Source organism: Homo sapiens, chromosome 2 (genome assembly GCF_000001405.40).
Source record: "Homo sapiens chromosome 2, GRCh38.p14 Primary Assembly".
Taxonomy (NCBI): domain Eukaryota; kingdom Metazoa; phylum Chordata; class Mammalia; order Primates; family Hominidae; genus Homo; species Homo sapiens.
The window spans coordinates 185,830,924-185,842,779 of record NC_000002.12 but is presented as its reverse complement, the minus strand read 5'-3'; the positions used below and the strand labels follow the sequence as shown (position 1 = coordinate 185,842,779).

At 34.6% G+C, this 11,856-nt stretch overlaps 1 protein-coding gene and 1 pseudogene across 4 annotated transcripts in view; both read right to left on the bottom strand.

Moving 5' to 3' along the window:
* On the bottom strand, positions 7,664–9,191 carry LOC100420895 (fibrous sheath interacting protein 2 pseudogene; annotated as a pseudogene).
* FSIP2 (fibrous sheath interacting protein 2) overlaps positions 9,490–11,856 on the bottom strand; it is a 96,157-nt gene continuing 93,790 nt past the window's right edge. For all 4 annotated transcript variants that reach the window (XM_047444333.1, XM_047444329.1, XM_047444331.1 and 1 more), the window contains exons 22-23: positions 10,898–10,967; positions 9,490–9,690 (exon numbers count right to left, since the gene is read on the bottom strand). In XM_047444333.1, the coding sequence (XP_047300289.1) occupies positions 9,554–9,690; positions 10,898–10,967 (207 nt within the window). In that variant the 3' untranslated portion in view covers positions 9,490–9,553. The remainder of the gene's footprint in view (positions 9,691–10,897; positions 10,968–11,856) is intronic.

The window sequence follows — 11,856 nt, the reverse complement described above, 5'->3', positions numbered from 1 at the left end:
CCAAAAGCAATGGCAACAAAAGCCAAAATTGACAAATGGGATCTAATTAAACTAAAGAGCTTCTGCACAGCAAAAGAAACTACCATCAGAGTGAACAGGCAACCTACAAAATGGGAGAAAATTTTCACAACCCACTCATCTGACAAAGGGCTAATATCCAGAATCTACAATGAACTCAAACAAATTTACAAGAAAAAAACAAACAACCCCATCAAAAAGTGGGCGAAGGACATGAACAGACATTTCTCAAAAGAAGACATTTATGCAGCCAAAAAACACATGAAAAAATGCTCATCATCACTGGCCATCAGAGAAATGCAAATCAAAACCACAATGAGATACCATCTCACACCAGTTAGAATGGCAATCATTAAAAAGTCAGGAAACAACAGGTGCTGGAGAGGATGTGGAGAAATAGGAACACTTTTACACTGTTGGTGGGACTGTAAACTAGTTCAACCATTGTGGAAATCAGTGTGGTGATTCCTCAGGGATCTAGAACTAGAAATACCATTTGACGCAGCCATCCCATTACTAGGTATATACCCAAATAACTATAAATCATGCTGCTATAAAGACACATGCACACGTATGTTTATTGCGGCATTATTCACAATAGCAAAGACTTGGAACCAACCCAAATGTCCAACAATGATAGACTGGATTAAGAAAATGTGGCACATATACACCATGGAATACTATGCAGCCATAAAAAATGATGAGTTCATGTCCTTTGTAGGGACATGGATGAAATTGGAAATCATCATTCTCAGTAAACTATCGCAAGAACAAAAAACCAAACACTGCATATTCTCACTCATAGGTGGGAATTGAACAATGAGATCACATGGACACTGGAAGGGGAATATCACACTCTGGGGACTGTGTTGGGGTGTGGGGAGGGGGCAGGGATAGCATTGGGAGATATACCTAATGCTAGATGACGAGTTAGTGGGTGCAGCGCACCAGCATGGCACATGTATACATATATACATATGTAACTAACCTGCACAATGTGCACATGTACCCTAAAACTTAAAGTATAATGAAAAAAAAAAAGAAGGATGAGTTCATGTCCTTTGCAGGGACATGGATGAAGCTCGAAACCATCATTCTTAGCAAACTTAACATGAGAACAGAAATCCAAACACCGCATGTTCTCACTTATAAGTGGGAGTTGAACAATGAAAACACTTGGACACAGGGAGAGGATCACAGGGAGGGGACACTTGGACAGACACCAGGCCTGTCGTGGGGTGGGGGAATAGGGGAGGGATAGCATTAGGAGAAATACCTAATGTAGATGATGTGTTGATGGGTGCAGCAAACCACCATGGCACGTGTATACCTATGTAACAAACGTGCACGTTATGCACATGTACCTCAGAACTTATGCTTTTTTTAAAAAAAGAGAAATCTGCTGACAATCTTATTGAGAATTCCTGTGACATGTCACTACTTTCTTACTGGTTTCAAAATTCTCATTGTCTTTTGAAAATATAATTATAACATGTCTCAATGTGGTTCTTTTTGAGATCATCTTACTTGGAGTTTATTGACTTTGGATGTTTATATTCACATCTGTCATCAAATGTGGGAAGTCTTCAGACATTCTTCAAATATTCCTTCTCCCCCTTTCCCTGTCTTTTCCATTTGGGACTCACAAAATGCATACATTGATCCACTTGATGGTGACCTACAGGTTCCTTAGGTTCACTTCACTTTAATTTTTTAAATCTATTCCTCAGACTAATTAATTTTCATTGTTCCATCTTCAAGTTTGTGGTTTTTTCTTCTGCCTGCTCAAACCCACTTTTTTTTCTATAACTTAAACTTTATTGTTAATTAAAAGGAAAATACATTTCTATGTGTATTGCTTACAAACAAAAGCACTAATGAATTGAGATGAAAGATTTTTACATGGGTATATACATATATGTGTACCAAAGCAATCAATTGATAGTTACTTTTCGTTAACATACTCATGCTGTACATAGGCATGTGTATCCTTTCTCAATTATTGTATCCATTTCCAACAGTTCATCTGCATAACCATTATCTTTAATATATATACACTATTCCATATACATTGTAATTAACTATTACTTTGAACATTTAAGGTATTTAATTTTTTTCACTACTACAAGTAAATACCATGGTAAGTATTTTTTTACACAGATAGCATTTTCTTTTTTTTTTTTCACAATATCGAAGACTTGGTACCAACCCAAATGTCCAACAATGATAGACTGGATTAAGAAAATGTGGCACATATACACCATGGAATACTATGCAGCCGTAAAAAATGATGAGTTCATGTCCTTTGTAGGGACATGGATGAAATTGGAAATCATCATTCTCAGTAAACTATAGCAAGGACAAAAAACCAAACACCGCATGTTCTTACTCATAGGTGGGAATTGAACAATGAGAACACATGGACACAGGAAGGGGAACATCAAACCCACTTTTGAATCTCTCTAGTAAATGTGTTATTTAGGTTATTGTAATTTTTGCCTCTAGAATTTCTTTTTGTTTTCCGTTTAGTTTTCTATGTCTTTCATTAATATTTTGATTTTGTTCATACACAGTTTTAACTTTATATCTTTGAGCATCTTTAAGAATGTTGTTTTTAAGTGTTTTTCTAGTATATTTGCTGTCAGGCCTTTTTAAATAACAATTTTTGTTGATTTATTTTTTTTCCTTTGAATGAGCCACACTTTCAAGTTTCTTTGTATGCCTTGTGAGTTTTCACTGGAACTGGACATTTGAATCTAAGAAATGTGATAATTGTGGAAATCACATCATCCCCTTCCTAGTTTGCTGTTTTTAGTTATTTTTTTTTAATTGTGGCTTTCTGTATCCCAAGGATCTGCCTGAGATGTAAACTTAAGGTCTTCTCAGGTCTTTTCTGAGACTGTACCTTTTCCTGAGCATGTATGATCACTTTATTATTTTCTTTGTATATGCATTGCTTTCTAATGTCTAGTGTTTAATGTCTAGCTCCCAAAAAGGGAGAAAAATTTAAGGTGATGAAAGACACATCAGTCCTTCAAATCTTGGAAATCACTTTAGCTGGAAGTGAAATCATTTTCACAATGCAAGAAAGTGCAGCAACAATTACCACCCACCTCTGTCTGTACCTCTTTAATGAGATTCAGCAATCAGTGATCAGAGATGACACTCATGAAACTTGGAGGAAGTGGTCCTCCTTGCCAACCTGTGCTCCCTCAAGTTGTGTGCAGATTCCTCCAAGAACATGAGCACAGCTGCCTGCCACCAGAATGGGAATTCAAATAGGTAGCTTCTACTGTGCTAAGAAATTGAAATTAACTGCAATTTAGCATCCATGCCTTATTCTAAAATATATCAACTTTCAGTCAATGCCAGAGTTCCAAAATAGTTACATCAGCCATATTCTGCCAGTAAAATTGTTGTCTAGTCAAGGTGAGAGACTTCTTGTGCTTTCTACTCTACCTTCCCAGAATCTTATCTTTGGCTTTTGACATTTTGATTATAGTGTGTCTTGGTGTGAGTATCTTTGAGTTTATTCTACTTTGAGTTCTTGGAGCTGTTTGGATTTACAGATTTATGTCTTTTGCCAAATTTATAAGTTTTTAAAATTATTTCGTCTTATATTATTTTTCCTCCTTACATTCTTTGGTCTCTTGATGGTTTTTCTTAGGTCCTTTAGGCTGTTTACTTTTCTTCATTATTTTTTCTTTCTATTTCTCAGAATAAATAATTTCAATTGTTCTGTCTTCAAGTTCACTGATTATTTCTTCTATGTGTTCAAACTCTGCTATTGAATCCCTCTAGTAATTTTTTTCTTTTAGTTATGGTATTTTTCAGCCTCAGAATTTCTATGTGATTTCCTTTCTGCTATTGTGGTAACATATATAATACATAAAATTTTCCATTTTTATCATTTTAATGATTTTAAGTGTATAGTTCCCTAACATTAAGTACATTCACCTGTTTTGTGATTATCATTTCTATTCATTACCGGAAGTTATCATTACAAACAGAAACACTGTGCTCATTACACAATAACTTCCCATTCCTCTCTCTCTCCAACTGTACTTTCTACTTTTTCCTACTTCTTTCTTTTCTACTTTTTATTTCTCCTTTCTTTTTCTATAAATTTGTCTACTCTATGTACTCCATAGAAGTGGAACAACATTTTATCTTTTGTATCTCCTTTTCACTTAGCATAATGTTTTCCAGCTTCTTCCTTTTTGTAAAATGTATCAGAATTTCATTGCTTTTTAAGACTGAATTTAAGACTCCATTGGGTTTCTCTCTCTCTCTCTACACACACACACACACACACACACACACACACACACACACAACTATATTTTGTTTATCTATTCATCTACTGATTAAAAATTTGGATTTCTTTCACATTTAGCTTTGTGGAAAATGGTGCTGTAAACATTGGTGTACTATTATACGTTTAAATCCCTGCATTCAATTATTTTGGGTGTATACTGAGAAGACAAAATAATAGATTATGTGGTCATTCCATGTTTAAGTTTTTTGAGGAACCTCCAAACTTTTCCACAGTGAATGTTTACTTTCTTTTTATAGTTTTCTCTCTTTATTAATATTTGTATTATTTTCTTGATTTATTTTATTCTTTGTCTATGTATTTTTTAGCTCTTTTAGTATTTTTTAAATAGTTGTTTTATAGTCTTCATATAATTAATCCAAAGTATAAACTTCCTTAGGCATGGCTTCTAGTTATTTATTTTGTTCCTTTAAATGAGCCATACTTTCCTGCTTCTTTGTATTTCCTGTGATTTTTGTAGTTGTTTTTCAAAATTGGGCATAATAATACTATGTGGTAACTATGGAAATCAGATATTCCTCTTTTCCTGGAGTTGTTGTTTTTCGACTGCTGAAGGCTTTAGTGGTTTATTTGTTTAGTGTCTTGACAGTGTATTTGACAGTGTATTTTTGTAAAGACTCTTCCTTGTGTGATCACTGAAGTATCCATTCCTGGTATTCAGTTAGAGTTTTCACAGAGATTTCCTTGAACTCCAGTATTTAAAGAACAAAAACAAAACAAACAAGCAAACAAGGAAACAACTAAAAATATATCTCCCAGTCTGTGCTTATCAGATCTGTGCTAAGGAACTCCTTCAATTCTTAACTAAGCTTGCACAGAGCCAAAGGAGAAACCTGAGGTAAAAATCTTACATTATTTTTGTTCTTTTCTGAAGATAGATCTTCCTGTATACATGTGCATGGCTTTCTAAGTTCCCCCACATAGAAGCTGTGGGCATCTTAATTTCTTAGAAGATTTTCTCCCCAGTTTTTTTTTTCTGGTTCTTTGGTTAATTTTTGCCTCAAGCATCTCCAGGTTGTTATTTGGTTTGCAGTGTTTTTGAGCAATGTCCACTGCTTTTCCAGTCTGAGTTCCCAGGTAGATAAAACAGAAACAAGTGCCTTGCTTCAGCTGTACATGTGGCACACAGAAAGTTGAGAACAGACATACACAGTAATTTTAGAATAAGATCTGCTGTGCTGTCTCAAAAAGGCCCCACACTGGAATGTAGACTCCTTTGTTCAAGACTGCTACTGGGTTGAGAAAAGGGTTTGGGCAAGGGCAAGTAAATATACCACAAATCTTTCCTATGTTTCTTGATTCAGTGTTTGATTAATAGCTGTAAACTTTTGACTGTTTTTCAGAGTTCTGAAGAAGTTGCTTCTGACATATTTTTTCTTATTTTTCTGTGGGATGATAAGAGCTTGGAGCTGCCTGCTCCACCATTTTGCTGCAATATTAACTGGGGTTTTAGTTTGTTTATTTCTTTTACAACAATGACTTCCAAGTCTTCTGATTTTATGTCTGCATCCATTTTGATTGGCTACTCTCAAAGTAAGAAAGAATTTTGAACTAGAAATTTACCTACAAATTAAATCTTGATCTAACTCTTCTTTATCTTTTTTTTTTTTTTTTTTTGAGATGGAGTCCCCAGGCTGGAGTGCAGTGGTGTGATCTCAGCCCACTGCAACCTTTGCCTCCTGGGTTCAAGTGATTCTCCTGCCTCATCCTTCTGAGTAGCTGGGATTACAGGCACCTGCCAACATGTGCAGCTAATTTTTTTGTATTGTTAGTAGAGACAGGGTTTCACCATGTTGGCCAGGCTGGTCTTGATCTACTGACCTCAAGTGATCCACTCTCCTTGGCCTCCCAAAGTGCTGGGATTACAGGCATGAGCCACCATGCTCAGCCCTAACTCTTCTTTTTCTAACTCAAAGTATATTTTAGCAGCATGCTCATATACCTTTTCAACAATATATTCAATAAGTAAATCACTAAAGAAATCAACATTTGAACTATGCAAACTAATTTTTATAATGGAATTTTATCAGAGGAACCTGCCCCCAATATTACAACATAAGTTCTTTCTATTTTCCATAAGTGTCAGCCAGCTGAGAAATAAACAGAAAGAGTACAAAGAGAGGAACGTTACAGCTGGGCCACCGGGGGTGACATCACGTATCGGTAGGACCGTGATGCTCACCTAAGCCTCAAACCCACAAGTTTTTTATTATGGGTTTCAAAAGGGGAAGAGGTGTAAGAACAGGGAGTAGATCATATGCTTCAAAGGGCAAAAAGGAGAACTACTTTTACTAGGCTTACTAGGGTGGGGAAAAACTCTGCCCTGGTAAGCCTGAGGGTACTGCAGGAGACCAGGGCGTATCTCAGTCCTTATCTCAACCACATAAGAGAGACACTCCCAGAGCAGCCGTTTATAGACCTCCCCCAGAAACGCATTCCTTTCCCAGGGTGTTAATATTAATATTCCTTGCTAGGAAAAGAATTTAGTGATATCTCTCCTACTTGCACGTCTGTTTATAGGCTCCCTGCAAGAAGAAAAATATGGCTCTTTTTGCCCAACCCCGCAGGCAGTCAGACCTTATGGTTGTCTTCCCTTGTTCCCTAAAAATCACTGTTATTTAGTTCTTTTTCTAGGTGCACTGACTTCATATTGTTCAAACACACACATTTTACAATCAATTTGTACAGTTAACACAATTATCACAGTGGTCCTGAGGTGACATACATCCTCAGCTTATGAAGATAACAGGATTAAGAGATTAAAGACAGGTGTAAGAAATTATAAAAGTATTATTTGGGAATTGATAAATGTCCATATTAAAATGAAATCTTCACAATTTATGTTCCTCTGCCGCAGCTCCAGCTTGTCCCTCCATTCAGGGTCCCTGACTTCCCGCAACAGAATTTGAACCTTTACTAGTATTATTTTAAGTCAATAATCAGTACCTTCATATAAAAATAAGCTTATTCATGAGTTCCAAATTATTATAGTACAGAAATCAGCATGGGCTAAATCTGTCCTGTCACTTGTCTTTAATAAACCTAAGAATAATTTTTATATTTTCAAATTATTGAAAAAAATCAAAAGAAAAATTCTATGTTATGACATGTAACATTAAATGAAATTCAAATTTCAGTGTTTATAAAGAAATTTTTATTGAATCACATCCACATCTATTTATTTGTTTATGTGTTGTATATGGTTGGTTTTGTGCTACAATAGCATAATGGAGTAGATTTGACAGAGAATCTACAAACCTAAAATGTCTACTTTCTAGCCTTTCACACAAAATGTTTTCCAGTCCATTTTAGTAAAACATAGAAAGAATCAACAACCTAAGGAATAATTTAAATTTTATGAATCTTAAAAACTTTCTTCTGCTTTAGCATTAGTCATTAGCTAGAAGACTAATGTTACTTTTAGAGATTTTAGCCACTACAGGTTTTATCAGGTAATAATACACATTTTTTCAATTCAGTGTTTGATACTTTTAGCACATTTACCCTACTAGTTTTGTTGAAAATAAAGATGATGTTTCACATACATGATGTCTAACACAGAAGTATTTCTGGATGGTTTTTCCTAGGACTTAAATTTCTCAATAACATTAACCATTCCTTACTAAAATGTTGTCAACTTCAAGGACTAATTCTGAACTTGATGTTGCTTCCTCTACTTGAGTCAGAGAAAACAGGAAATTTCCTTCACCATTAAAAACCCTCTTAATTCAGAGTATCTTATGTTTATATATTACATTTTTCAGTTGATAAGTATGTGAATCACAGTGCTTTAAATTTTTACAGTGAAATGTTACGTTGAAAGACAGCTTATAAGCACGTAATATCTAAGTTTGGGAAACATCATTGGTTTGGATGACATCTGTAAGAATGCTTTCAACAACACTGTCAACTAATGCAAACTGATGTAGAGTCAGCTCTTTTGAAAATAATTCAGAGATGAATTTCCAGCTATTTCTCACCAACCATCATTTTTTAAAAGGTCTGCATCCACAAGTTCGGCAATTTTGTATGATCTTTGGGATTAATCTGTTTTTAAGAGATTATTATAAGTAGACTAAATTGCCAGTTAAATAATTTTATTATTTATATGTAAAAATTTGACTAGGTAATCACTTTTTTCTTCCCTGTCATTACTGCACAGATCAACTTCATTAAAGGAAGTTTGTTGTTTTAAAACAAAACTTTTTCAGAAGTTTCTGCTTTATTAGTGGCAATTGTCAAGAAAATTTTAGATAAAACAGAATACACATTCTCTAAAAATTCATGAGTCACCCTTTTTGGGTGATGATATTTGACATTCCTTCCCAGCTTCTTGGTCCATCTGTTGAATCTCTTTATAAAACATCCTTGGATTCCAGAGGCAAACATGCTGACATTGGAACTTTATCACAAAGTAGCAAGTTCAGCTAATTTTGAAAAATTTCTTTTATCACTGCACTAGCTAGCCATATTATTAAATTTTTCCCATTACTTTTGTTTTTACAAATGGATCTTGATCTCTATATTCGTGTATAATATTTCTGAAAATTATTTAATAACTTTATTGACCAATGATTTCTTGATTGATATTTTATCCATAAGAGGTACGTTACTTGCAAGGATTTTTTTTATCACAGGGGCCATTTTATGCATATATGGAATTATATATAGTTATCATTTACTTTCAAATGGTGCTTTGTCTACAGTTGGATCATTTTGCCTGGGAGACATAAACTAAATTAACTTTACTTTCAGGTGGGAAAAATTTATCTGTTATAAATCCTTTTATTCGAGTATCTAAATATGCCTTTAACAATAAACTTATCCGTGACATAGTTTCATTTTCAGCTTGGTTTTCATCTCAATTTAATAACTGTCCTGGTAACAACATCCTCTAAAATTTAGCAGGAGCAATCAATGTGCATTTTCTGGTGGGTACTGTGAGTTGTCTAGTTTAATAATTATGTGTTTAGTCACTTACTCTCATGGCACACAGGTAATACTAATTATTAACATTTCTTACATCAAAATGCTTATTCAAAGCATTTGTTAAACCCTTCTTTGCCTGGTCCCTTCTACACTTCCTTTTGCTTTTATTTTCAGTAGTATAGGAATCATCTTATAAGACGCTATACTATGCTTTAAAAACCATTTTATTTTCTAAAAGAAGTAAGCATACTTATATCAGGTACAAAAGCTTCAGTGTTCATCCTGGTGAGCTGGTGAGGAAGATCTGGAAATATTGGTGTTACATTGAGAAAACACCTTTGACAAAGTTGAAGACATTTTTGTCAGCATTTTAGATCCTTGTTTGGAGACATCGGGCTTGGGAGTTTCTGTGGACAAAGTAAACAAGAAGAATGATATCTTTATTTTTGAACACTGAGGTAAAATACCTTGCCTAAGGTCATATGAGTAAAAGGTGGCCCAGCTGGTAATAGGGTCCAGACTTTCTGACTCTCATGGCATCATTATGCCTACTGTACTATGAGGCTTCTTTAGTCACGTATACAAAGTCCATTTCTCTTTTCTCAGCAGAACACTCTCTGAAAATGTCTAATGAGTTAAATGGGAAATTAACTTTCAACTCTATACAGTGTGGACACCTATTTCAGAATGCTCAAGAGAAAGTAGAAGTACATTAAAAAATAGTATAAATTCTCACCTACTTTGAGTAAATTTTCCATTGACTGACCCCAAGTGATTATTTATGTCATGGAAAATAGGACTGTGTAGGTAATAAAAGAGTTCCTATTTGCATTTTTTTTGCACCTCTTATTCAGCATGAGGCTTTAAAGAATATAATCATCTCAGTTTAACAAAATTATTATTTTATACATAAAGAAATAATTTTATATATAAAGAAATATTTATATACTTTTCTGATACTTAATAAGTTGCGATAGGGCCACTAAAATCCTGTGTTTTCTTGATTGTAGTACATGAAACTCAAAAGTTATACATTTTAATATAAAACTTTAATACCCAGCTTCTTTTGAAAAACTGGAAGAACTGGGAACAATCTAGCATGCCAGTGATTGTAGATGAGTAGCAACTGCCTCCTTCAAAGGCAGCATGCCATCTCCCATAAGCCACACACCCCTGCTCAATCTGCTGCTGTTGTTTATGGTACCTACCTTGCTCATATAACTATTTGTGTGTGTAGACAATGATGATGTTGCATGAGATTGGGATTTGAAACATAGCTCTGCTGCTTGTTAGCTGTGGGATAACCTTGGATAACCTATTGTCATTTTTCTCTTTAATGATTCTCACTTTTTTCTTTAAATAAAATGTGAATAGCTAATGCCTGATATATTTTAGTTATATGATCCATTGTCCCTTTGGTGTAAAGATAGAGAGCTACATAATTAACTGAAAATTGGTATTTATGCAAACAGTAAGAATATTATTTCACTCCTATTTTGATAATATGCAAGGGGAGAGCCACTCATTTCCAGGAAAGTAATAAAAAATTCTAAATTCAAAATGATGCAATTGACAGTTTAATTACACCAGTTGTTAAAATAGTACATTTTGTACCTGAAATGACTTCCTTTGAGGGATTTGCACTGCCAAGAACATCCTTGGATCTTTCAAAGATGGTGATAAACTGCCAAGGTAAATTGAAATACAAACTGAGTCTTTCACTGGACACAAACACTAGATATACCCATAAGTCCTCAAATCCACTAGATATACCTATAAATACCACTACAGCATCTTACATAAAATATATCTGTGCTCTGCAGTCTCAAAGAATTGTTCAGTAAGACTGAGGCTGATAATTTTTGCAAAGTAAGATGCCTAAGATTGACCCTTGTTATGAATGCAGACTTTGGCTAGCACTAAGTGAGGGTCAATGGTTCAGCCATATTAACTCATGAAAAATCTGAGCTCTGTCTGCCCCCTCTATCCTTTGACTGAATTGAAAAAAGTTAAAAATTCTTTTCTGAAAAAAGATGTAATAATAAGGGGAGAAAAAAGAATGTTTACTTTGTAACCCCAAATTTTCTTCTATTGAAATCTTAGCCACTGCAGAGTCTGGAGCAATAAAGTGGCTCTGTAGACCTGGTTGTGCTGGGATTGTGTCTCCGGTACTAGCTTTACTCTGTAGACCCTTATCAATTTTGAATGCAAGAGCAGCAATTGTCCCAGAGAAGCATAAAATAGCCTGGGACAGGTGTTGGGGCTTCAGCTATTCTGAAGCTATTCTAAAATGGTAGATTTGAAGGGTACCAGAATTCTGTAGCTATTCTAAAATGTCATCTGTTAAAAATCAGTAAAACAAGGCTTAAATACATGTAACACAAGAGGAATGTGCAGTGTCTATATCAGGTAAAAAGCAACAGATAACTATTACAAGAGTTTTACCATAGTTCCTCCAAGAAGACTTAAGGGTGCTCATGTATTAAGCTATTGGAAACAAGATAACTGAGGAATAAAATAGGGCAGAGACAATGTAAAGTACTGATTCTCAACTTAAGCTGTACAATAGAGTT